The sequence below is a fragment of the Homo sapiens genome, chromosome 3 (assembly GCF_000001405.40).
Source record: "Homo sapiens chromosome 3, GRCh38.p14 Primary Assembly".
Classification (NCBI taxonomy): domain Eukaryota; kingdom Metazoa; phylum Chordata; class Mammalia; order Primates; family Hominidae; genus Homo; species Homo sapiens.
In genome coordinates, this window is record NC_000003.12 from 197726246 (window position 1) to 197752311 (window position 26066).

Below are 26066 nucleotides of genomic sequence, written 5' to 3' on the forward strand. Positions count from 1 at the left end.
ATTTTTATTTTTATTTTTTGAGACGGAGTCTCGCTCTGTCGCCCAGGCTGGAGTGCAGTGGCGTGATCTCGGTTCACTGCAAGCTCTGCCTCCTGGGTTCACACCATTCTCCTGCCTCAGCCTCCCAGGTAGCTGGGACTACAGGTGCCCGCCACCATGCCTGGCTAATTTTTTGTATTTTTAGTAGAGACGGGGTTTCACTGTGTTAGCCAGGATGGTCTCGATCTCCTGACCTCGTGATCCACCCGCCTCGACCTCCCAAAGTGCTGGGATTACAGGCGTGAGCCACCGCGTCCAGCCTATTTTATTTCTGAGACAGAGTCTCGCTCTGTCACCCAGGCTGGAGGGCAGTGGTGCGATCTTGGCTCACTGCAACCTCTGCCTCCTGGGTTCAAGCGATTCTCCTGCCTCAGCCTCCTGAGTAGCTGGGGATTACAGGCACCCACCACCAAACCCAGCTAATTTTTGTATTTTTTAGTAGAGACGGGGTTTCACCATGTTGGTCAGGCTGGTCTCAAACTCCTGACCTCATGATCCGCCCGCCTCAGCCTCCCAAAGTGCTGGGATTACAGATCTTTTGTATTTTAATAAGCAGGAAGAAAATGTCACCCAGTAGAAAGAAAATAGACATCATAGTCATTTAAACTGAATTTGAATTTGAATCTTAGCTGCTCACAAACTAGATGCACATTCTATTTTTTTTTTTTTTTTTGAGACTGAGTTTTGCTCTGTCGCCCAGGCTGGAGGGCAGTGGTGCGATCTCAGCTCACTGCAACCTCCGCCTCCCGGGTTCAAATGATTCTCCTGCCTCAGCCTCCCAAGTAGCTGAGATTACAGGTGCCTGACACCATGCCCAGCTAATTTTTGTATTTTTAGTAGAAATGGGGTTTCACCATGTTGGCCAGGCTGGTCTCGAACTCTTGACTTCAAGTGATCTGCCTGCCTCAGCCTCCCAAAGTGCTGGGATTACAGGCGTGAGCCACCTCACCTGGCCTAGATCCACATTCTTGACCAAGCCATTTAAACTCTTGAAGCTTCAATTCCCTCACTGTAAAATGGAGACAACAATTGCTTCACAGAGGAGGGTGTAACTGACAATCTAGGGGAAGCATTATCATAGAGCAGAGAATAATATTCTCTTTTCTCTGCCATTTTCCCCCTGTGAACTTCCATTGCATAAATCTAATAAATCCAACAAAATCAGGAAGGGTACCTAGAATAAAGCCTTCTTACCCATTCTGCTTAAAAAGAAAATTCTGCCAAAAATTGTAAAGGATTGGACAGTCTGCAGCATAATGAAGTTTGGTTACAGTGTTCCACATCCAAACAGTATCTCCACTGCGTTTAAACCAAGGTCAGGTCTGCAGGTAAGCATGGATTGCAAGGCCCTGTTGATGCTGTTGGTCCTCTCACTGAAGTAGGAAAGCTAGGAAGGACTTCCTCAAATACTGGATATGACTTTTATATGGTAAAGACTTAAATCTGCTTGACGGAATGGAAGAAACTGTCAAGGTGTTACTGCGGCACAATAAGGCTGATTTCATGAGACATATAAGAAAGACAATCTTATTACTTCACCAGGCTCATGTTATACTGTCTAGGTAGCAGAATGCTTTACAAACAAGGTAAAGCAGGCACACAACACCACTTTAATAGCAATGGCACGGGAGGAAAGACAAAGTGTTTCAGTCTTTTCAGTTTCAGGTAGATGATTTAAAGGTAAAAGGCACGCTGGGCACAGCGGTACATGCCTGTAGTCCCAGCTCCTCAGGAGGCTGAAGCAGGAGGACTGCCTGACCTATGCTGGGCACAGTGGCACATGCCTGTAGTCCCAGCTCCTCAGGAGGCTGAAGCAGGAGGACTGCCTGACCTATGCTGGGCACAGTGGCACATGCCTGTAGTCCCAGCTCCTCAGGAGGCTGAGGCAGGAGGATTGCCTGACTTCAAAAGTTCAAGTCTAGCCTGGGCAACAATGTGAGAACCCTTCAAAAAACAAAAACAGCTGTGGGGAGAGGAAAAGCTTCAGGCTTAGAGTCCTTGCAGTCCCCTCCTGGGTTCTGACAACAGCAGCTTCCCCAAAAGCTTCAAGGGTATGTTTCTGTAATTTTTGTACTAAAAATCGAACTAGCAATTGCTAGTTTCCTTTAAAATCATGTGATCATCCTGCTTTGCTACTAGCTCTATGTAAACTGTTAACTCCTAGAATAATCAAACAGGGACGGGAAAGAAAGAAAACAGGAAATATAAAAACGTGAAAAAGTGAAAATGAATAGGAGAAATGCGAAGAAAGTGGCACTTCCAATGACAACAGTTCCACTAGCATCTGCCCATCTGTAAGAGGGATGACCACAACGTTAATGTCTTCATTCCTCAAACAAATATTCACTGAACACCAACTATATGTCAGGCACTGGGCTAGGCACTGGTGCTTAAAGAAGCGTTATAGCGGTTAAAGAGGAAGAGTCCCATCTGTCAGAGAATTCAGAACGTAATGGGGGAAATGGACACTTACATAACCATGCTATGAAGGGAGATGTCAGATGTGCTCTAACAGAGAGGGGTGCCTTCTAAAGGAGCGTCATTTAAGGGACGACTAAGAGCTCTCCAGGCAAAGAGGGAGGTATTGCAGTGAGTGTAGAAAAGCAAGAATGAGAATGGCAAGAAAGATGTGAGAGTGGGTGAGTGTGCCATGGTTTTGTAATTGGAAACTTCATTAAGTACTAACAGAAAGATTCAGGCCGGGCGCGGTGGCTCACGCCTGTAATCCCAGCACTTTGGGAGGCCGAGGCGGGCGGATCACGAGGTCAGGAGAATGGCGTGAACCCGGGAGGCGGAGCTTGCAGTGAGCCGAGATTGTGCTACTGCTTTCTGGCCTGGGCAACAGAGCGAGACTCCGTCTCAAAAAAAAAAAAAAAAGATTCAATACCAGGGTGAGGAGTTTTGACATGGAAAATATTCTGTTTTCAATGGGAAAACCACTGAACATTGCTTTTGTTTTTTTTGTTTTGTTTTGTTTGTTGTTTTTGAGACGGAGTCTCGCTCTGTCGCCCAGCCTGGAGTGCAGCGGCGCGATCTCGGCTCACTACAAGTTCTGCCTCCCGGGCTCACGCCATTCTCCTGCCTCAGCCTCCCAAGTAGCTGGGACTACAGGCGCCCGCCACCACGCCCGGCTAATTTTTTTGTATTTTTAGTAGAGACGGGGTTTCACCATGTTGGCCAGGATGGTCTCGATCTCCTGACCTTGTGATCCGCCTGCCTCGGCCTCCCAAAGTGCTGGGATTACAGGCGTGAGCCACCGCGTCCGGCCCCTGCTTTTGTTTTGTTCTGTTTTTTGAGACAGTCTCGATCTGTTGCCCAGGGTGGAGTGCAGTGGCATCACCTGGGCTCACTGCAACCTCCGCCTACCAGGTTCAAGCAATTCTCCTGCCTAGCCTCCTGAGTAGCTGGGATTACAGGGGTGCACAACCACATCTGGCTAATTTTTTGTATTTTTAGTAGAGACAGCATTTTGCCATGTTGACCAGGCTGGTCTTGAGCTCCTGACCTCAGGTGACCCACCCACCTCAGCCTCCCAAAGTGCTGGGATGACAGGCATGAGCCACCAAATCCAGCCAATCACTGAACATCCCTGAGTAAAATATTATAGTAGCTTTGTTTCTGAAAAATTAAACTAGTAGCAGGGTGAGCTGGGATGACAGGCATGAGCCACCAAATCCAGCCAATCACTGAACATCCCTGAGTAAAATATTATAGTAGCTTTGTTTCTGAAAAATTAAACTAGTAGCAGGGTGAGGCTATCTGGAATTGGGACTAAATTCAGGTTGGAAGATTAGTTAAGAAGCTACTGAGGTAATCCCCAAGAAGAGATTATATGGGTCTACAGTGAATAAACTTTATATCTGCCCAGAATTTGTCCCTTTATTTTGGTAAGAGAACCCTGATTTTCCACTGAGGAACCACCTCTCTACTACTTACTCTGGTCCATGAGGTTCCAAGATCTCACCCTCCCTTAGGATCCAGGGTTGGGCACATAACTTAGGCCTGACTAAGCAGAATAGCCCATACCCCGACCACAAGAACAGAAACATAACTCAAGTCAGTCCAAAAAGAGTCAGCCCCGGGATTTTTGCTTTTGCTGGAGCTGCTGGGACTGCATCTTTCTTGTTGCTGGTATTGCTAAGCTTGGAGTTGCTATGGTAACCTGTAGAATAGTCTACCTGAGAATGAAAACAACACATCTGGAAGCAGAGCCCAGAGACAGAGACAAATTCTTAATTTGAACACCCATATTTGGGCATTTCTGAAGCAACAGTACACCCTAGATTTTTTTTTTTTTTTTTTGAGAGAGAAAGTGGGACCAGGGGGCCATCACGAGTGTGGATGCTGTGCCAAGGCCCGGAGCTCTGGGAGCCCACACCATTTATTGATGATCAAACAAAGAAACAGGTGGTGAGGATGTGGGGGTTGAAAGGAAACAGTGTATCAAGTGAATGAGAAACATATGGCTGCTTGAGATAATGGGAGTGCTAGAAGCAAGGAGCCAGCAAGTCTAGCAGACATGCAAGCCCTGCATCAGCTTCTCTCCCAACACTCAGCTTTTCTCATTAAAATATCTTTTTTTTTCATATTTTAAAAGCATCTTTTTTTTTTTTTTTTTTTTTTTTTTTTTTACAGTTTCAACTATTTATTCAACACCTTAGTGAACATCTGCTCAGTGCGGGCATTATTATGTGTTAACTAGAGGTTTTTTGTTTTTGTTTTTGTTTTTATTGATCATTCTTGGGTGTTTCTCGCAGAGGGGGATTTGGCAGGGTCACAGGACAATAGTGGAGGGAAGGTCAGCAGATAAACAAGTGAACAAAGGTCTCCGGTTTTCCTAGGCAGAGGACCCTGCGGCCTTCCGCAGTGTTTGTGTCCCTGGGTACTTGAGATTAGGGAGTGGTGATGACTCTTAAGGAGCATGCTGCCTTCAAGCATCTGTTTAACAAAGCACATCTTGCACCACCCTCAATCCATTCAACCCTGAGTGGATACAGCACATGTTTCAGAGAGCACAGGGTTGGGGGTAACGTCACCGATCAACAGGATCCCAAGGCAGAAGAATTTTTCTTAGTACAGAACAAAATGAAAAGTCTCCCATGTCTACCTCTTTCCACACAGACACGGCAACCATCCGATTTCTCAATCTTTTCCCCACCTTTCCCCCGTTTCTATTCTACAAAACCGCCATTGTCATCATGGCCCGTTCTCAATGAGCTGTTGGGTACACCTCCCAGACGGGGTGGTGGCTGGGCAGAGGGGCTCCTCACTTCCCAGTAGGCGCGACCGGGCAGAGGCGCCCCTCACCTCCCGGATGGGGCGGCTGGCCGGGCGGGGCCTGACCCCCCCACCTCCCTCCCGGACGGGGCGGCTGGCCGGGCAGAGGGGCTCCTCACTTCCCAGTAGGGGCAGCCGGGCAGAGGCGCCCCTCACTTCCCGGATGGGGCGACTGGCCGGGCGGGGGGCTGACCCCCCCACCTCCCTCCCGGATGGGGCGGCTGGCCGGGCGGGGGGCTGACCCCCCCACCTCCCTCCGGGACAGGGCGGCTGGCCGGGCAGAGTGGCTCCTCACTTCCCAGTCACCCTAGATTTTTTAGTACTATAAGCCATTATATTTGGAAATGGAGAGAAAAAGAAGGCTTCAAAAGAAAAATTAGGAACAGAATTTTAGACCCTGGTGACTGCTTACATATGGGAAATAGAGAAGAGCGAAATGTCAAATGTCACTCTGACGCTCTGGCATGTTGAGTGAGTGGAAAATGCTATTAACAGAGATCAGAGGAGGGGCAGGTTTTGGTCAGTGGAATAAGCTTAGTTTGGAGATGCTAAAACGGATCTTACTCCTTGAATTCTGACTGTACCTGGATCACGGTGCCAGGAGCACTGAGCAGTACATGTACCTGAGCTGCAAGCTCAGCAGTAGACTGCATGGCCAAGGCAGTCTAGGGAGACAGTACACTGCATGGCCAAGGCGGTCTAGGGAGACAGAGCAATGCCAGAAAGACCATTCCTTTAGCAGTTTACCAGTCTAGTAGTTTGGGTATTTTTGAGACGAGTCTCACTCTGTCTCCCAGGCTGGAGTGCAGTGGCGTGATCTCGGCTCACTGCAAGCTCCGCCTCCCGGGTTCACGCCATTCTCCTGCCTCAACCTCCCCAGTAGCTGGGACTACAGGCGCCTGCCACCACGCCTGGCTAATTTTTTGTATTTTTAGTAGAGACGGGGTTTCACTGTGTTAGCCAGGATGGTCTCGATCTCCTGACCTCGTGATCCACCCACCTTGGCCTCCCAAAGTGTTGGGATTACAGGCGTGAGCCACCGTGCCCAGTGTAGTGTAGTAGTTTTACCAGGCAACCTCAAAATAACTGGCATTTAGGAAACGGAGGGAAAGTGAAGTATCATCCCTAAGCCCCAGAGCATCTGGCTGGAGTGATAGCTAGACGGAAAACAATAGGGAAGCCCATCACCTAAGCACACTACCGGGGAAGTGGGAAGCTAAGCCAACACTCTAGGTCCCAATGTGTTCAACTCGGATGAAGGAGCCACTGAAAGAGGAAGAACAAGTGATACCCTTGCAAACAGTCACTTGTGGGGGAGACCCTCGCCTTATTTCAAAAAAACTAGCAAGGGGTGGATTCGACATTTTTCCTACTTCCTACGTATCAGGCTCTCAGGAGCTTTATGCACATTGTTTTATTGAATCCTCAGAACTTCTCAGGCAGGAAAGCATTATTCTTCCTACTCAGGCAGGTTACGTAAAGTAACTTGATCAAGTTAAGCCAAATTAATCCGTGAACTAGGATTCAAATGCAGGTCTGACTTTAAAGCTTATTCACGTTTCATTATATCAACTACTTAAGGAAAATACACTGAAAAGTTTCATCCTTCATTTTTAAAATGACACTACCGGCTGGGCACAGTGGCTCATGCTTGTAATCCCAGTGCTCTGGGAGGCCAAGGCAGCAAGATCCCTTGAGGCCAGGAGTTTGAGACTGGCCTAGGCAACATGGTGAGACTCTGTCACTACAAAAAATCTGAAAAAATTAAAAATTAGCTGGGAGTGGTGGCACACACCTGTAGTCCTAGCTACTGAGGAGGCTGAGGTGGGAAGATCACCTGAGCCCAGGAGTTTGAGGCTGCAGTGAGCTACGATTGCACTATTGTACTCCAGCCTGAGTGACACAGTGAGACCCTATCTTTAAAATATATAAATAAATAAATAAAAATGATGCTATCTCATCAAGAAGACTGTTTCTGAACTGGGTATTTCATTGGCCATAGAAAGGTTATGTTTGCAGTAACCCAGTCACAAAGCCTCAATTAATAGGCACAAGGAATGTGTATTTACCAGTTGTGTATCTGGAGCTAAGGAGGCCATCAGTACCATGAAGCCTCATTAAACAACGCATTCTGAATTAATCAGCCGCCAACACAGTATGCCTATAACAATGACGGGAGTGACTTTGTGAGGATAACCCCACTACTAAAATTAAGTTTTGATTAAAGTTTTTTGGTTAAGAGGCAATCATAAAAAGAATAAAAGACGGGAAAAGATTCTGCAAAGGAGCTATCCTACTGGCCTGAATGACAGGCACAGAATGCTGTGAAATTTATTCACTATCTTATACTTCCGTTGTTACTATTAGCATAGTGAGAGGCAGCATAGGGTGAGTATTAAAAGTACAGACTCGGGCCGGGCACGGTGGTTCACGCTTGTAATCCCAGCACTTTGGGAGGCGGAGGCTGGTAGATCCTCTGAGGTCAGGAGTTTGAGACCAGCCTGGCCAACATGGCGAAACCCCGTCTCTACTAAAAATACAAAAAATTAGCTGGGCGTGGTGGCGGGCACCTGTAATCCCAGCTACTTGGGAGGCTGAGGCAGGAGAATTGTTTGAACCTGGGAGGCAGAGGTTGTAGTGAAGCAAGACGGTGCCACTGCACTCCAGCCTTGGCGACAGAGCAAGACTCTATCTCAAAAAAAAAAAAAAAAAAGTGCAGTCTCTTGGGCCGGCATGGTCGCTCATGCCTGTAACCTCAGCACTTTTGAGAGGCCGAGGCTGGAGAATATCTTGAGCCCAGGAGTTTGAGACCAGCCTAGGCAACATAGTGAGACCCTGTCTAAAAAAAGAAAAAAAAAAAAAAGCGCAGACTCTGGTGCCGAACTGCCTGGGTTTGAATCCAGTTCTGCCAGGGATTCGCTGTACAACCTTGGCAAGTTACTTACCCTGTCCATTTCTCAGCTTTCTCATCTGTGACACAGCAATAACAGTAGTACCGACCACATACAATAGTTATAGGGATTAAAGAAGTTAACGCAGTATTCATATCTTAATACCTTAAAACAATTCCTGGCATGTGGTAAATAGCATTTGTTACATACATTAAAAAAATAACTAACCCAGCCTCCCTCACATGAAGTGGTAGAGGGAAATCAAAACAATCCTAAAACGTGTTTAGAATTTACATGGGACCTTTCACACGAAGCACGTCACAGACATCTGCAGGAAGAATAAATAGTCAAATAGGCAAAGCAGAAACTGAAACATGGAAAAGGGAAGTAAGATGTTCAGTTTCACTTAGCACAAATCATTCTCAGATCTCAGGCAGGAGCCCCAAAGTCCTGTCAGTCCAGGTTTTGTTCAACAGGCCACTTTGCACATAAAAGTAGAGTCACCCTTAAAAATAGCAAGTCTTCACCCAGGAACATCTCATAAATCTTCCCTTGTTGATATTTTCTCAGAGGTAAATATTCTGCTTCTAGTTTTTGGATCCCAGCTGCTCCTGAGACCATCATTATATCTGAAACTGTTTCTAAATGTCAAGTGAGGTCAGGCCTGGTGGCTCACACCTGTTAATTCCAGCACTTTGGGAGGCCGACGTGGCGGGGGAGAATTGCTTGAGCCCAGGAGTTAGAGACCAGCCTGGGCAATATGGTGAGACCCTGTCTCTACAAAAAAGTTTTTTAAAGTAGCCAGATGTGGTAGCTGGCACCTATATCCCCAGCTACTTGGGAAGCTGAGCTAGTATAATCGCTTGAGCCCAAGAGTTGGAGGCTGCAGTGAGCCGTGTTCACGGCACTGCGCTCAGCCTGGGGGACAGGGTGAGGCTGTGTCTCAAAAAATAAAATAAAAATAAAATAATAAATGTCAAGTATGACTCCCTTAAGCCACATTCCTGCTCTCGCCTGTCAGCATTCCAGCCTCTTTAAAAAAGATTAAGACCAGAGTTATTAATGAAGCAAACCCTAAATATGGAAGGCATCTCTACAGACTCCGATTCATCATTTAGTCAAAGTAGTTCGGGGTTTCTTTGGCTTTTTGTTTTTTGAAGACAGGGTCTTCCTCTGTCACCCAGGCTGGAGTGTAGTGGTGCGATCTCGGCTCAATGCAGCCTCGACTTATTGGACTCAAGTGATCCTCTCGCCTCAGCCTCCCGAGTAGCTGGCACCACAGGTGAGCACCACCACGCCGAGCTAATTTTTGTATTTTTGTAGAGACGGGGATCTCCCTAGGTTACCCAGGCTGGTCTCAAACTCCTGGACTCAAGCGACCCGCCTCAGCCTCCCCCAAGGTGCTGGAATTACAGGTGTGAGGCACCGCACCCGGTCCAAAGTAGTTTTTATATTTTAAATCCCCCAATTTCTAGAAGATATGAGCTTTCTGACATGGTTCCATATAAATAAATGTGAACTTGCTTAGTTTGCATTGTGAGGAAAAAGGGACAGGTTTGAAGACGAAAAGGAAATGGCACAGAGGTCCTGCCACTCTCTGACAGGGATTCGGCAATGACAAAGTGCAGAGTTTCTGGTCTCATTAGCAGTCCCCGCCCCACCGCACTGCCATGACACTCGCTCACTTTCTCCCCAGGCTCTCCTCGCCTTCATCCCCATGCTCATCTCTGCCTAAGCTTCTTCCGAGGCCACTCATAACGCTTCACCTCTGCTCCCAGGAATTCTCACATCCTCTTCGCGTTGGCCCCACTTGCTGTCACGGCAAGTTTCAGTCCGGGTGGTGCCCTGCCCCTGTCTATAGACTCTGGCCTGTAAAACCTCACTGCACCCCTCTGGCCTCTTCGCCCAGTCTCTCAGCTGCCACCTCCTCTCCAGCAGTCTTGGATCTGAGCTTCACCCTCCTCTGCTGCCCTTGCCCTCCGCAAATCCCACCCACCCTCCTCACCCTAAGCCGGTTCCTTCGTCCCATCCCCGCCCCGCCCGTCCTTCCTCTGCGAAATGCTTCCCAAACAAGTCCTCCGCAGCCGTCGTCCTCAAGACTCGTCGCGCCCGGCCCTTCTCTCCGTGACCCCGCGCCCTCCCAAGCCTCCCGGGGCTCCGGCGCCTGTCGCTGCCCCGACTCCGCGGCGGCTCCCAGCCCACCTGCTCTCCTCAGGCAGGCGCTCCTCGCCGCCTCCGAGCTCCATTCCCGCGCCCTCCGGCCGCATCCGGGGCGGTGAGGCCGCCTCTTCGCCCAAGAGAGGCGTCCCTGCCGCTTCGCCCTTCAGGGCTCCCGGGGCCCCCTGGGGCCGGAGGAGGCACCTGCGGCCGGTGGGCTCCGGGTGATGCGCTACACCCGGGCGGCGACAGCGGGAGGGACCGCCGCCTGGGCTGCGGCTTCTATCCCGGCCACCCCCACTTCCGGCTCCGGGGACTACAGCCCCCGGCGAGCACTCCGAGGCTAGGCCGCTCCCGCAGGACGCGTCCTCCAATCCCAGGCCGCGCTCGCAGACCGCGCCCCTCCAACGGCAGGCCGCTCCCGCAAGCCGCGCCCTCCAATCCCAGGCCGCTCCCGCAGGCCGCGCCCTCCAATCCCAGGCCGCGCTCGTGGATTACTACGCACCCGGTGGTTGGCTGGGCCGGCTTGCAAGCGGCGGGGGACCTTGGTCTCAGGAATCCGTGCCGGGGCGTATCCTTATTCACCCCCGTGACATTACACGCTGGGGACCGAACTCAGTCCGAGATGTAGACTAGGCAATAACGCTAATCTAATCCCGGTACGATTAACCCCACTCAGCCCGCCCTGGCTTAATGTCCGCTGGTGGTGTTTGGAGACCTCGAGCATTTAAATGAAGCGCTCACAAACAAGAGCACAGGTTGCTTTGGGATCATAAAAGAGCAGGAGAGAAAGGCTTCTGGGGGCTCTCGGAAGATGGATGTCAACGCAGAGTTTTCAAGGCTGAGTACGGGTTAGCCAGGAGAAAGAAGAGAAGGTGGAGAGAGCAACACGGCAGATACAAGGAAGGAAGTGCTGGCTTGGGAACTGCAGGTGCTGGGTAGCCAGAGCTGGGAAGGAGTGAGCAGCAGCATGGTGTGGGCATTCTGGTGTGGGGAAACCAGATCATGAAATGCCATTTTAAGGAGTTTGGATTTTATCCTGAAAACAATCAGCAAATCAAGCATATGCAAATCAAGAAGTGATTTGATCGAATCTGATGAGAAAGCCACTTTTGACAATGTGGACAGGAGATGGGGCAGATATAATACTATATTGAGGTAACGGTGGAAGGCTAGATAGGAGACTGGTCATCCTTATGGGGGATAACCAAGTAATGCTAAGAAGTGAAGCGAACCAGTTGAAAGAAACGTGGGCCTAGGGTTGCCAGATACTCTGGTTTCTCTTTTTTCTTTTTCAAAGACGGGGTCTCTCTCTGTCGCCCAGGCTGGGGTGCAGTGGCGCAATCATAGCTCCCTGCAGCCTGGAACTCCTGGGCTCAAGCAGTCCTCCTTCCTCAGCCTCCTGAATAGCTGGGACTACAGGTGCGAGCCACCACACCTAGCTATGATATTTTGATTTTTTAAAAGAAGCTAGGATCTGCATTTTTAAGCACTACTTCCAAATTTTTAAACGTTGGCAACAAATTTTTTAAACTTTCAACTTTGCACAGGCCAAACACAGCTTGTCTGTAGGCTGAAGGTGGCCCTTGAGTTGCTAGTTTGCAAACCCAGGCTTAAACTACAGCAGCGGTTGAAGAGAACAAGGAGGCTCAGATTACAGCAATGTGAAGGCAACAGAATCAGCACTACTCTATAAAGGACTGACTGTGGCAAGTGAGGGAGAAAGAGCGATCAAGAATAACTCCGTGAAAAACTAATGACTCTATATTAAAATAATATATGGCTTTTAGGTATTTTCAAACTTGACAAAAGTGTTTTGGCAATTAAAAATGAAATGAAAGAGCCTCTTGAAGCCATTTATGATTTCATTTAGGTTAAAAAAATACTCTCTTTCAAACTTTCTCATTTTCCTACTAAACGATTATACTTCTTTAAGAAAGGGGCAATATTACTCATTGGGATTTCTCTTCCTTCTGTGACTTTCTTCTCTTTTGGAGACGCAGTCTTGCTCTGTCACCCAGGCTGGGGTGCAGTAGCGCTGCCACAGTTCACTGCAGCCTCAACCTCCTCAAGCGGATCCTCTCACCTCAGCTTCCCAAGTAGCTGGGACCACAGGCAGTGCCACTATGCCCAGCTAATTTGTTTTTTTTTTTTTAATTTTTGGTAGAGACAGGGTCTCACTGTGCTGCCTAAGCTGGTCTCAAATTCCTGGGCTCAAGCAGTCCTCCTGCCTCAGTCACCCAAAAAGTATTGGGATTACAGGCATGAGGCACCATACCTGGCCTTACTTCTAGTTCTATAAATGTATGAACTTTATTTTTTGGCATACAGTATAATCCCAAATTAACACTATATTATTTATTTATTTATTTTTGAGACAGAGTTTCACTCTTGTTGGCTAGACTGGAGTGCAATGGCGCGATCGGGTTCAAGCGATTCTCCTGCCTCAGCCTCCTGAGCAGCTGGGATTACAGGCATCCGCCACCACGCCCGGCTAATTTTGTATTTTTTAGTAGGGACAAGGTTTCTCCATGTTGGTCAGGCCGGTCTTGAACTCCCGACCTCAGGTGATCCGCCGGCTTCGGCCTCCCAAAGTGCTGGGATTACAGGCGTACTAAAAAATACAAAAAAATTAGCCGGGCATGGTGGCAGACGCCTGTAATCCCAGCTACTCAGGAGGCTGAGGCAGGAGAATGGCTTGAACCCAGGAGGCAGGGCTTGCAGTGAGCCGAGATCGTGCTACTGCACTCCAGCCTGGGCGATAAGAGCAAGACTTCGTCTGAAAAAAGAAAAAAAAAAAAAGGCCGGGCGTGGTGGCTCATGCCTGTAATCCCAGCACTTTGGGAGGTCAAGGCGGGCAGATCACGAGGTCAGGAGATGGAGACTATCCTGGCTGACACGGTGAAACCCCGTCTCTACTAAAAATACAACAAAAAATTAGCCGGGCGTGGTGGCGGGCGCCTGTAGTCCCAGCTACTCCGGAGGCTGAGGCAGGAGAATGGCGTGATGAACCCGGGAGGCGGAGCTTGCAGTGAGCAGAGATCACGCCACTGCACTCCAGCCTGGAAGACAGAGCTAGACCTGGGCGACAGAGGGAGACTCCGTTTCAAAAAAAAAGGCAATCAGCTTTATCAGGAAATCCTAGGGGCCAGAAGCGGTGGCTCACGCCTGTAATCTCAACACTGGGAGGCCCAGGCAGGCGGGTCACTTGACACCAGGAGTTCGAAACCAGCCTGGCCAACATAGTGAAACTCTGTCTCTACTAAAAATACAAAGAAAAAATAGTCGGGTGTAGTGGCACACGCCTGTAATCCCAGCTACTTGGGTGGCTGAGGCATGAGAATCGTTTGAACCCGTGAGGTAGAGGTTGCAGTGAGCTGAGATTGTACCACTGCACTCCACCCTGGGTGACAGAGTGAGACTGTCTTGGGGAGAAAAAAAAGAAATCCAAAAACTAAAATTGTAGCAAAAAGGCTGGAAAACAGGCTTTTTCTCATATGTCCAAGTTCAAGTTACATGTACTGGATTTTCTTTAAAGCCATTAATAAACATGACAATAATCTGCACTAGCCATGCGTTACCTATCCCATCCCTCTACTTTCCCTCATAATCCTGAACCCCTTCTTTTGTTTTTTTTTCTTTTGAGATGGAGTCTCGCTCTGTCACTCAGGCTGGATCATGGATCCACTGAAAATACAAAATACAAAAAATTAGCTGGGAATGGTGGCAGACGCCTGTAATCCCAGCTACTCGGGAGGCTGAGCCAGGAGAATCTCTTTAACCTGGGAGGCGGAGGTTGCAGTGAGCTGAGGTCATGCCATTGCACTCCATCCTGGGCAACAAGGCAAGACTCCATCTTAAAAAAAAAGAAAAAGAAAAAGAAATTTTGTAGTATAATTGGCAAAATTTGAACATGAACCATAATTGGATAATAGTACAGCATCAATGTTAAATTTTCTAAACTTGGTAATTTTAGCATGGTTATGTTAAGGAATATCCCTAGAAATATATTCTCTTTCTTTTTTTTTTGAGACAGAGTCTTGCTGTGTTGCCCAGGCTGGAGTGCAGTGGCACAATCTCAGCTCACTGCAACCTGTGCCTCCTGGGTTCAAGCAATTCTCCTGCCTCAGCCTCCCGAGTAGCTGGGATTACAGGTGCCCAACACCACGCCCAGTTAGTTTTTATATTTTTAGTAGAGACGGGGTTTCATCATGTTGGCCAGGCTGGTCTCGAACTTCTGACCTCAAGTGACCTGCCCACCTCAGCCTCCCAAAGTGCTGGGATTACACGTGTGAGCCACTGCACACAGCCCTTAGAAATAGATTCTAAAGAGTCATAATTCCTGCAACTTTCTCTCAAATTGTCTAACAACAACTAATACCTCTATACAGAGAGAAAGCAAATGTGGCAAAACATTAATTGGCGAAGTAGAGGATATATGGGTATTCATTGCACTATTTTTGCAACTTTTCTCTACATTTGCAAGTTTAAAAAATAGTCAAGGTTCTGCTTTCATGGGGACCTAAAAAAATAGTCAATGATCTTAGTATGGTTTTGTTTTCTTATGACTGTATCCTGCTAAATATAACAAAAATTTTAGTGTTTCACATGGAAATTTTTAATCTTGTAATGATTAACTTTAAAGACAGTTTAAAATTAATTTATGTTTTCCCCATAGGTAGCATTTCTAAAAGTCTTTTAAGCCAATTTTGCCAAATGACCAATTCACTGACTTTACCAAATTTACTGATTTACCAAAATTCTTTTTCTGTTAGGCATATATAAAGCTTATAGTAGTTCATCTGATGAGATGATTTTAAAAGCTTTTGAAGAATTTTGCCAAGTTTTAATTACTTAGCTTTTATTCTGTCTTTATAGCAACATTTCCATCCCCTCTAAGCACTTAGTAGTGGTTCATTTATTCAATTATATAGGAACTGGCTGGGCACAGTGGCTCATGCCTGTAATCCCAGCACCTTGGGAGGCCGAGGTGGGAGGATCACTTGAGGTCAGGAGTTCAAGAACAGCCTGGCTAACATGGTGAAATCCTGTCTCTACTAAAAATTCGCCAGGCATGGTGGTGGGCGCCTGTAATCCCAGCTACCTGGGAGGCTGAGGCAGGAGAATCCCTTGAACCCAGGAGGTGGACATTGCAGTGAGCTGAGATCGCACCACTGCACTCCAGAGATTGCACCACTGCAACAGAGCAAGACTCCATCTCAAAAAAAAAAAACCCCAAAAAACTATATAGGAACACTTGCCAGCCACGAACGGTGGATAAAAATGTGTGCTTTTTCTTTTTTTTTGAGACGGAGTCTCGCTTTGTCACCCAGGCTGGAGTGCAGTGGCGCAATCTTGGCTCACTGCAACCTCTGCCTCCCAGGTTCAAGCGATTCTCCTGCCTCAGCCTCCTGAGTAGCTAAAATTACGGGCGCCCGCTGCCGCCTGGCTAATTTTTTGTATTTTTAGTAGAGACGGGGTTTCACTGTGTTAGCCAGGATGGTTTCGATCTCCTGACCTCATGATCTGCCCACCTCGGCCTCCCAAAGAAAATGTGCAATTTTTAATGTTAAAATGAAAATTTTAAAAATCTTATTTCTAAGCTGAGTGCAGTGGCTCACGCCTGTAATAGCAGCACTTTAGGAGGCCGAGGTGGGCGGATCGCTTGAGGTCAGAAGTTCGAGGCCAGCCTGGCCAGCATGGTGAAACCCCATCTCTACTAAAAATACAAAAATCAGCTGGGCTTGGTGGCGGACGCCTGTAATCCCAGCCACTTGGGAGGCTGAGGCAGGAGAATCACCTGAACCTGGGAAGCGGAGGTTTCAGTGAGCCGAGATCCCACCACTGCACTCCAGCCTGGGTGACAAAGTGAGACTGTCTCAAAAAAAAAAAATCTTATTTCTAGACTGAGCAAATCCTTAACATAGTTGACGAATGTTCGTTTTGTCCCTGCCCCAGCTTCCTGCAACTCTCGCTGAGTAAAGCTGCACAGAAGGGACCCTCCACTGCATGAAGAGGGTCAGAGCTTGAGTGGCTGCTATGTGCAAGACGCTGTGCTTTAGTTAGTCTCCCCCAGCCTGGGCTCCTCATCCCAGAGCAGGGAACCTGCGGGGCACAGAGAGAAGAAGCCTGGGAGAAGGAGGAATGCCTGAAGACCCGCGACCCAAGAATCCTGGCTCCCTGAGCCTTCCTGGACTACAAATCCATCCAGTACAAATTGAGGATATCTTCGAAAAACAAACAGTTTTATGTAAATGGGTGGAATTTTGCACTTTATGTAAATTTGTTTAGCTTTGGAAAATGCCACAGTTGGTCATTCAGTGAGTCAATCTAGAACCCCTGGTGGTCAAGACTCCTGCCTTCCCTAGGGAGGGCAAGGCCTAATAAGCTGAGAGGTCCCACCCCTGAGTCCAGGAAGAATTCCCCTTCAAGTTCCCTTGTCCACCCAGAGCAGATTCCCTAGTCACACAGAACTGATGCTCAGGGACTTAGTGGCCAGTAGTGCTCCTTTAAACTTGCTAGCTGAGGCGGGCAGGCTCCTCCGGAGCTCTTGAGTTTCTTAAGGGCAGCAGCTATGCCTGCAACCCCGTCTGTCATGTTCTCTGCAGTATCCCCAGCCTCTAGCACAGTGTCTTGAGTTTCTTAAGGGCAGCAGCTATGCCTGCCACCCCGTCTGTCATGTTCTCTGCGGTATCCCCAGCCTCTAGCACAGTGTCTTGAGTTTCTTAAGGGCAGCAGCTATGCCTGCAACCCCGTCTGTCATGTTCTCTGCGGTATCCCCAGCCTCTAGCACAGTGTCTTGCACATAGGAGGACCTCGAACTCTGTTGAATGAACGAATAAATGAACAAACAAATTTTGAGATTAAAAGGCAGAAGACTAGAACAGGAAAAGTTTACAACAAAGGAAAAGGGCAACACAGAAGAGGGACAGAAAGCTACAGCAAAGTGGCAAAGAAAAGCTACTGCAGCAGAAGACAGCAGCAGACAGGTAGAATGGAAAAAATTGAACAGAAAAGAGAAGAAAACCTGTAGTGTATATATAAGTAGTTTAAGGGTGCTACGAATTAGCTATTGTTTATTAATAACTAATATTGGCCAGGCGCGGTGGCTCACGCCTGTAATCCCAAAACTTTGGGAGGCCGAGGTGGGTGGATCACGAGGTCAGGAGTTCAAGACCAGCCTGACCAACATGGTGAAACCCCGTCTCTACTAAAAATACAAAAATTAGCCGGGCGTGGTGGCGAGCGCCTGTAATCCCAGCTACTTGGGAGGCTGAGGCAGGAGAATTGCTTGAACCCGGGAGGCGGAGGTTGCAGTGAGTCAAGATTGCGCCACTGGACTCCAGCCTGGGTGACAGAGTGAGACTCTGTCTAAAAAATAAATAAATAAAAAATAACTAATATTAGCTAATAATTAGTTATTATACCTAATACATATTATCTATATATCATATAATATAAATTATACCATACTTCTTTAATATACCAGTATAATACATATTACATCAATATGATTTCTAGATATCCTCTTTTGAAAAGCAAAAGAGTTAACATAAGAAACAGACAAATGAATTACAAGAAAAGGAAATTACATACCAGTGTCACTCATGAAAAGACAAAATTCTTGGCAAAATATTAGCAAGTCAAATCCAACAACATGTAAAAAGGATAATATACCATGACCAAGTAGGTTTATCCCAAAAATGCAATATTTGGAACATCAACATTCAAAAACAAAATCAACATTCAAAATTTGATAGCCAATGTAATTCGCCATATTAATACATTTTGCAAGAAAAACCTTTTGATAATCTCTAGATACAGAAAAAGCATCAGATAAAACTCAGCATTTATTCATGATTAACTCTCAGCAAATCAGGAGTAGAAGGGAACTTCCTCAACCTAAAAAAAGGCATTTTTAAAAATTAGCATCATACTTAATGTTGAAAGACTGAACGCTTTCCCTCTGGGGTTGGGAACAAGGCAAAGATGTTCACTTTCACTACTCCAATTAAACATGATACTAGAGTCCCTAGTCAGTGCAATAAGGCAAGAAAAAGAAAAGGCATACAAATAAAAAACAGTTATGCTATGTGAAATAATCCAGTTAAAAAGTATATACTGTATGATTCCATTTATTAAAAATACTAGAAAATGCAAATTAATCTACAGCAACAGAAAACAGATCAGTAGTTGCCTAGATAGTAGGTGGGGGGTAAGGATTACAAAGGTGAGCAAGAAAACTTTAGAAAATAATGAATATATAATAATATTTATTCAGATTATCGTAGTGTTTTCACAGGTATATATCCTGTACACCTGTATAAACTGCATACTTTCAGTATGTGTCTTTTATTATCAAATATATCTCAAAACTAAGAAAAGGGGGATTTAGGCTGGGCACGGTGGCTTCACACCTGTAATCCCAGCACTTTGGGAGGCCGAGGTGGGCAGATCACAAAGTCAAGAGATCGAGACCATCCTGGCCAACATGGTGAAACCCCATCTCTATTAAAAATATAAAATTTAGCCAGGCGTGGTGGCACGCACCTGTAGTCCCAGCTACTCAGGAGGCTGAGGCAGGAGAATTGCTTGAACCCGGGAGGCGGAGGTTGCAGTGAGCCGAGATCACGCCATTGCACTCCAGCCTGGGCAACAGAGAGAGATGCTGTCTCAAAAAAAAAAAAAGAAAGAAAAGAAAAGGGGGATTTAAAAGGCAAATCAAGCCAGGTGCAGTGGCTCACACCTGTAATCCCAGCACTTTGGGAGGCTGAGGCGGGCGGATTACCTGAGGTCGGGAGTTCGAGACCAGCCTGACCAACATGGTGAAACACTGTCTCTACTAAAAATACAAAATTAGCTCAGCATGGTGGCGCATGCCTGAAATCCCAGCTACTTGGGAGGCTAAGGCAGGAGAATTTCTTGAATCCGGGAGGCAGAGGTTGTGGTGAGGTGAGATCATGCCACTGCACTCCAGCCTGGGCAAAAAGAGTGAAAATCCATCTCAAAAAAAAAAAGGCAAATCAAACTGATAAAAAGTTAAGGGGTGAAGTGTGTAAGAGTTTACTACCTTTGAAGAAACATAGATTTCTGTGCACATTATGAAAAAGGAGCCAGAAAGTGTTAACAGAAAACTATGAGGTTGAGCTGGGCGCGGTGGCTCACACCTGTAATGCCAGCACTTTGGGAGTCTGAGTCGGGTGGATCACCTGAGGTCAGGAGTTCGAGACCAGCCTGGCCAACATAGTGAAATGCTGTCTCCACTAAAAATACAAAAATTAGCTGGGCGTGGTGCCATGCACCTGTAATCTCAGCTATAGGGGAGGTTGAGGAAAAGAATAGCTTAAACCCGGGAGGCGGAGGTTGCAGTGAGATCATGCCACTGCACTCCAGCCTGGGCAACAGAGTGAGACTCTGTCTCAAAAAAGGAAAGAAAGAAAGAAAAGTATGAGGTTGAGAAGGTTGCCAGATTTAGCAAATAAAATAAAAGACTCCCAGTTAAACCTGAATTTCAGTTAAACAAATGTCAACCTTCAATAATGAGATTCAGAAAATATGACTAAGTATAAAGTTTACTGCAGCACAAAGCTTGAGGATAGCCATCGCGAAACATGATTCCAAAGGAATGGGGTCAGTGCTCCAAAGTGAGGAGGCCAAGATTTCACTTATATAGGCAGAAACAGTTGTAACAATTTGATTAGTTTAACTTGCTACATTCCAAGGAAGATTCCTTTAATATTCTGTGAGGAGGTGTAATGTTCTCAGGGGTCTTATCTCTGGCACGCCTCAATCATTCCAGATCACTTACAGGAAAAAGCAGAAGTTACAACTACATGCTGCTTGACTCATGCCATATAGCCATGTCCCTCTCAAAGCTCAGAATAATTTAAAGTTTCAACAGCTTTAAGTTTGAATTATTTTATTTCACACAATGAAATGATTCTCTGTTGTAAATATATCCTAAATATTACATGAAACTTACTGTAGTTAAAAAAAAATCACTGTTTATCTGAAACGTGGGACATATTTGTACTAAACAATTGTCCGTTGTTTATCTGAAATTCAAATTTAGCTGGCCCTGCATTTTATCTGGCAATCCTGGAGGTTGTTTTATCTACATTGTGTGAAACGAAGTCTTTTAAAAGGGCAACTGCTTGGATCCCATGTTTATTTTGACTTAGGCGAAGCTGTGGAACTGCTGTACACCAACAAAGGCTGAATGCCCACGTCCAGTCCAGGGCCTTGTTCACAGCAGGTGCTGAGATATTCTTTGCTCTTCAAGCTGTGTGAAGATAGGGTGTGCATCCGTCTTGCTCACTTTTTTTTTTTTTAATCCCCAGGGCCTATTACAGTGCCTGATGCTCAATGAATATATGATTAAATGAATAGCTACCTCTCCTGCCCCAGAAAATTGCAGGGTTGACCTTTTAACCCTGGCCCTTGTGGTTGGCTGATGGACTTCTTGGACAGGACCCAGTTCCGATTTCTTGGCTTGTCTTCCTCTTTATTTTTACTGTGTGTGTCTCGGGTTGCTATTTTCTGTTTTGTGTATGAAAAGACCTGCCATTACCCACAATGCTTCACTCTTGCTTTCTTGCCTTTCCCTCTGGAATCTGGGGATGGCTCCTAGGCCCCAAGACTCTCAGCCCTTGGGGAAACCTGAAAGTCTGAAACACAACAGCTAGGACTGTTTAATCAAATACTGCAGCATGGCCTTTTGCACTATAGAGACTGGGGATAAGGCTTTGGTTTGGGGGAGAAGATCAGGATAAAAGAGAATCTTTTTTTTTTTTTTAAGACAGGGTCTCACGATGTCGCCCAGGCTGGTCTCGTACTCCTGGGCTCAAGTGATCCACCTGCCTCGGCCTCCCAAAGTGCTGGGATTACAAGCGTGAGCCACTGCACCAGGTCGAGAATCTTTATTATATTAGTGGTAGGGAGGATTTTATACATTTGGGATTTTTATCTGTCCTATAAATACCTGAAGTACAAAATGCCTCCAAACTCTAATTGCATTAATTTTCTTCCATAAAATTAAGAACTTAACCTAAGGATCCTCTCTGTAGTTTACTCTCACAAATGAGCAGAGATGGTAGAAGTTATTTCTAGTGACAGAAGGTGAATGTGGAGAAAAATGACTTGTGCTTAGAGGATTTTAAATATACTTTTCATACTCACTATTCTTACTCCTTTTTCTGGTTTTGAAGATGGGTATGAGGTCCAGAGACTCTCCCAAAATCATACAGTGAATAACTAAAGTCAGTGAAAAAGTTATCACTCAATAAAACTCAGGTCTGGGCCCACAACCCAGTTTCTGTAGTTTTTTTTTTTTTTTTATTTGAGATGGAGTCTTGCTGTGTCACCCAGGCTGGAGTGCAATGGCACGATCTCAGCTCACTGCAACCTCCGCCTCCCGGGTTCAAGCGATTCTCCTGCCTCAGCCTCCCAAGTAGCTGAGATTACAGGTGCCCACCATCATGCCCGGCTAATTTTTTTATTTTTTTATTTATTTTTATTTTTTAGTAGGGGTTTCACCATGTTGGTCAGGCTGGTCTCAAACTCCTGACCTCAGGTGATCCGCCTGCCTCGGCCTCCCAAAGTGCTGGGATGACAGGCGTGAGCCAGTTTCTCTAGTTTTTAGCAGTCCAGACAAATGAAGGGGCTTCAGGGTGAGAGAGTAGTAAAATCAAGCACATTATGCTAAGGACATACATGATATTCTCCTTGACATGCCAAATATTGTTCTTGAGTTTCCGAGTCCAAACTTTCCTCCACTATTAAAGTTTCTTGTGCCCCTTGATAGGTGTGTGGTTCACTCTTCCTATATTGTTATGTCCTTGTCATGATAAAAAAAAAGAGACATCTTAACCTTTGAGAATAAGAAGTTATTTAGAATATTCCCAAAAGCCTAACAAAAATCATACATTTCCCCAAGATAAGACTACTAGGCTTACAAAAAAGTCATGGTTCTTTGAGTTCAGCTGGAAACATAATCTGTGTGAAGACTCCTGGTTTTATCCATGCTACATATACAGGAAACGTTCACATTTACTTTTATTGTTAAGGTGACCGCAAAATTGTCACTGCAAGCTTTGCTTTAAATTCAGGCCTGGAAAGGGGAGCTGGAACAGCTGGCTTTAATTTTTAAGTGTGACATGCATAAGAAATATTTTAAAACATGGGATCCCCAAGCAAAAAATAGTAAATGTGTCATTGGTGTTGAAGTTGGAAGCCACATGACATTGTGACATGACTAAATTAAGCAAAGGCTACTGTGGTTTTGAGATGGCTGGTTTCCATGCTAAAGGAATTTTTGCATTTTATGAATTGGAGAGGAGAAAGGCGACAGAGATTTCTAGGTGGACAGAATGCATCTGGTATTGTCCTTAGATGTAAATATCCGAGATAGTTTTAAGCTGTATGAGGGTGATATAACCTAAACGCTTCCACATAAACGCAGTTACTTCAGGGAAGGAGAATGAGGTAAGAAGAGAGGTAAATACCGTATGTTGTAAACGGAAAAAAGTTATCATGCAGGAATTCATCAAATATTAAACTGTTTTCCCGTAGGGATGATTAAAAAGTAAACGAACCCTTCTATCCATTCCCAATGCAAATGAATTAGAAGAAAATGCAGCTACATCAACAGAGGTACTTACCCCTCCCGAGGGAAGCTGAGGTCTTATTAGGGTAGTGAACACCGTGCCAGATGTTTTGAGAGTGCCGATTGAGAGAAGGTACAGACACGGGAAACGTTAGCATTTACTTTGGAGTTAAGGTGACGCAGGAACCGTCACTGCAGCGTTTGCTTTGCGTTCAGATGCGGCAGCTCAGCGCAGCTGTAGGTGGAGGAGCGTGCCAGGGAGGGGGGAGCTGGGATGCAGCTGCAATCTACACTCGCAGGGGTCTGTCCTGCCTCCCGAGGCTGCGTTGCGGTGGGCGCGAAAGGCTCGTGTGTACCGAAGTATAGGGGACCTGTCTGCAGCAGGAGGGACTCGAAGGACACGGAGGATTATATCACTGAAGGCATAAGATTCAGAGGTGCCCGCGGTCTAGCATCCCCCAGTTTGGGCGGAAAGTCGAACTGCTCACAACGGCGGTCCTCGCGAGCGCCTAGCACAGCGGCTGCAATGCCTCGTCCGATCCTGCGAGGGCCGCTAGGAGCGAGTCACGGCGCGGGGCCGCTCTGGTCGCCCGCGAGTGTCGGTGGCCCCGCCCCGCCCGCAGCCGCGGGTGGAGACCGAGGACGGCGCCGGCGCGTGCGCGCTCCCTCGGTGCGGCGGGCTGCGTGCGCGAGTGGGAGGTGGCAGGCCTGCGACTCCGGCCTTGTCCGCGCCCGCTCTCGGCGCGACGTCTCCAGCCATGAACCGGTTTGGTACCCGGTTGGTGGGAGCCACGGCGACTTCTTCGCCGCCGCCGAAGGCCCGCAGCAATGAAAACCTCGACAAAATAGATATGTCTTTGGGTGAGGGGCCGAGTTGGACCGAGTTGGAGTGCGGGGGAGGGCGCGGGTGGAAGCCGGCGGCGCGGTTTGTGGGGGCAGGGGCGGTCGGCAGCAGTTGCCGGCGGAGTTTTCTCGCTGGTGGGCGGACCCGAGCGGAGGCCCGGAGGACAGCCGGGAGCGCAGGCTCGACGCCAGGTGCCCGGCTGGACCGCGAGGGACCCGGGCGTCCCCTCGGCCGCGGCAGTCGGAGGAGGGGCTGTGGAGGCGGGGGCAGGGGCGCTGCGGGCCCGAAGGTTCGCAGGGTCGCGGGGGGCGTCTCTTCTCCCCGGAGGGGCTACGGCTCGCCGCTCGCCGGCTCTTTGTGAGGAAAGATCTGCCGGTTTCCCCGGAGCGCGTTCGCGGTGGGCGTTATCGGGGAGCGAGGGGAATGGTCCGACCGAGCCGTTCTCTCTGAAGAAAGGTCTTGGAGAGCCCGGCCGGGGCTGCGGTCGGTTAAACCAGCGCTTCCGGAGCTTTCCCTGGTCGCCGGGCGTTCCAGGCCGGCGCCGGCCATGGCTGCCGGGCGCGACTCTCGGGGCCACCTCCGGCCGCGGCCCCGGAGCGTCTGTCAGAAAGGAAGCAGCGCTCGGCCGCCTGTGGGATGTGGTTGTGTATTGAGCGCTGCCTAGAAAAGCACAGTCTCCCTCTCCAGGCCTCAGAGCTAGCTAATGGGGGAGAAAGCAAACATCTTTGAAGGAGAGATGATTGCTGTGGCTCGCTGAGAAGCCAGGTAAAGCGTGGGGTTCTTGAGCGCATCTGAGAGGGTGGCGTGGTTTCTTGCCGATTATATAAAAACCGGGAGGTTGGTGATTCCATTAAAATCCAGCCCTGACACTACCGAGGCACCAGCCGCTGTGGTTAGCTTAGGTGGGCTAAAAGTACGAATATTTTTGTCGGGATTCAAGTGATGGCGTTGGGTGTAAGTCAGCTCTGCCAGGTGTTTGGCTGGCAGTTTTTCGGATATTTGAAAAGTACCTGACTAGTGGATTCCGAGGCGTACCCTTTCCCAGGACGGTCTTTAGAGTGATAACTGTCTTGGAAACCTTCTTTCGGTTTTCATTTCTTCCCATTTGTCTTGTGTGTCTTTTGTTGTGGTTTATCTGGAACGTTTTTGGTTCCAGGTGAGATGGGAACTATTGATTTCTACGATTGCCACAGTCAGAATCCAGTATGTGAACTAAGCAAATGATCAGAAATAATAGGTTTGGCCTCAAGTCTTGCCTTGCTGCTGGTTAGTAGTGAGCTTGTAAGAAATGAGAAAGCTGGGGCTGGGCGCGGTGGCTCACGCCTGCAATCCCAGCCCTTTGAAGGCGGAGGCGGAGGCAGGCAGATGGCTTGAGCCCAGGAGTTCGAGACCAGCCCGGGCAGCAAGGTGAAATCCCATGTCTACTAAAAATACTAAAATTAGCCGGGCGTGGTGGCCGCGCGCCTGTAATCCCAGCTAAGACATGAGAATAGCTGGAACCCGCGGGCGGATGTTGCAGTGAGCCGATTGCGCCACTGCACTCCAGCCTGGGCGGCAGAGCGAGACCCTGTCTCCCCCCGCTCTCCCCCCCCGCAAAAAAGAGAGAGAAACCTTTTGAGGTAAGGCCAACAAATAATGTAATAATGAATATTTATTGAGTGCTTACTACCTACCAGGTCCTGTACTAAGCATTTTATATGTTAACTCAGTTTATCCTCGTCATAACTCTGTGAGGATTCTAGCGATGGAGAGCACGGAACCCAGAACCACATTGTCTCAGTTCAGGTCCTGGACTAAGCATTAAATTAAATTAATTAATTAATTAATTATTTGAGACGGAGTCTGGCTCTGTCGCCCAGGTTGGAGTGCAGTGGTGTGATCTCGGGTCGCTGCAACCTCCGCCTCCCGGGTTCCAGCAGTTCTCCTGCCTCAGCCTCCCGAGTAGCTGTGATTACAGGCACACGCCAGCGCTGGTGGCCGGCTAATTTTCATATTTTTAGTAGAGACAGGGTTTCACCATGTTGGCCAGGCTGGTCTCGAACTCCTGACCTCAGGTGATCTGTCTGCCTTGGCCTCCCCTACAGGCGTGAGCCGCCGCACCCGGCCAGCATTTTATATATTAACTCAGTTTATCCTCATGATAAGTCTGTGAGGGTTGTACTCCTAGTGATTGACAGCATGGAATCCAGATCCACACTGTCTCCTTTCAGGTCCTGCCTCTGCCACTTTGTAACCATGTAACCGTGGGCAGATG

At 47.6% G+C, this 26066-nt stretch overlaps 2 protein-coding genes across 12 annotated transcripts in view, besides 8 other annotated features; one reads left to right on the forward strand and one right to left on the reverse strand.

The window, feature by feature from the left end:
* RUBCN (rubicon autophagy regulator) overlaps positions 1 to 23575 on the reverse strand; it is an 80954-nt gene extending 57379 nt beyond the window's left edge. For 6 of the 9 annotated variants that reach the window (XM_017007543.2, NM_014687.4, XM_006713828.4 and 3 more), the window contains exon 1: positions 10410 to 10659. Coding sequence is in view for 6 of the 9 variants with exons in the window: in NM_014687.4 (NP_055502.1) it covers positions 10410 to 10474 (65 nt within the window). In the remaining 3 variants the exon portion in view is untranslated. Of the gene's footprint in view, positions 1 to 10409; positions 10660 to 22076; positions 22201 to 23023 lie in introns of those variants that run through there. The other 3 variants (XM_006713831.5, NM_001145642.5, XM_047449268.1) reach the window with 2 other exon arrangements.
* Positions 8957 to 9006: an enhancer, noted in NCBI's record as "active region_21114". NCBI's record gives its function as "activates an Ori minimal core promoter by ATAC-STARR-seq in GM12878 lymphoblastoid cells {active_cell/tissue: GM12878}" and the evidence as "EXISTENCE:reporter gene assay evidence [ECO:0000049][PMID:35858748]".
* Positions 9937 to 10784: an enhancer, noted in NCBI's record as "H3K27ac hESC enhancer chr3:197463053-197463900 (GRCh37/hg19 assembly coordinates)". NCBI's record gives its function as "activates a minimal SCP1, AML or CMV promoter by ChIP-STARR-seq in primed H9 embryonic stem cells {active_cell/tissue: H9 hESC(primed)}" and the evidence as "EXISTENCE:reporter gene assay evidence [ECO:0000049][PMID:30033119]".
* Positions 9937 to 10922: a biological region, named in NCBI's record as "H3K27ac hESC enhancer GRCh37_chr3:197463053-197463900".
* Positions 10373 to 10922: a silencer, noted in NCBI's record as "silent region_15090". NCBI's record gives its function as "represses an Ori minimal core promoter by ATAC-STARR-seq in GM12878 lymphoblastoid cells {active_cell/tissue: GM12878}" and the evidence as "EXISTENCE:reporter gene assay evidence [ECO:0000049][PMID:35858748]".
* Positions 13282 to 13414: a silencer, noted in NCBI's record as "fragment chr3:197466398-197466530 (GRCh37/hg19 assembly coordinates)". NCBI's record gives its function as "represses an EF-1alpha promoter that drives an FKBP-Casp9 reporter gene in an ReSE screen in K562 erythroleukemia cells {active_cell/tissue: K562}" and the evidence as "EXISTENCE:reporter gene assay evidence [ECO:0000049][PMID:32094911]".
* Positions 20604 to 20703: an enhancer, noted in NCBI's record as "active region_21115". NCBI's record gives its function as "activates an Ori minimal core promoter by ATAC-STARR-seq in GM12878 lymphoblastoid cells {active_cell/tissue: GM12878}" and the evidence as "EXISTENCE:reporter gene assay evidence [ECO:0000049][PMID:35858748]".
* FYTTD1 (forty-two-three domain containing 1) overlaps positions 23288 to 26066 on the forward strand; it is a 38064-nt gene continuing 35285 nt past the window's right edge. Inside the window, exon 1 of one of the 3 annotated variants that reach the window (NM_001011537.3) lies at positions 23288 to 23405. Coding sequence is in view for 1 of the 3 variants with exons in the window: in NM_032288.7 (NP_115664.2) it covers positions 23727 to 23829 (103 nt within the window). In the remaining 2 variants the exon portion in view is untranslated. Of the gene's footprint in view, positions 23406 to 23637; positions 23830 to 24001; positions 24578 to 26066 lie in introns of those variants that run through there. The other 2 variants (NM_032288.7, NR_027840.2) reach the window with 2 other exon arrangements.
* Positions 23435 to 23774: a silencer, noted in NCBI's record as "silent region_15091". NCBI's record gives its function as "represses an Ori minimal core promoter by ATAC-STARR-seq in GM12878 lymphoblastoid cells {active_cell/tissue: GM12878}" and the evidence as "EXISTENCE:reporter gene assay evidence [ECO:0000049][PMID:35858748]".
* Positions 23875 to 24144: a silencer, noted in NCBI's record as "silent region_15092". NCBI's record gives its function as "represses an Ori minimal core promoter by ATAC-STARR-seq in GM12878 lymphoblastoid cells {active_cell/tissue: GM12878}" and the evidence as "EXISTENCE:reporter gene assay evidence [ECO:0000049][PMID:35858748]".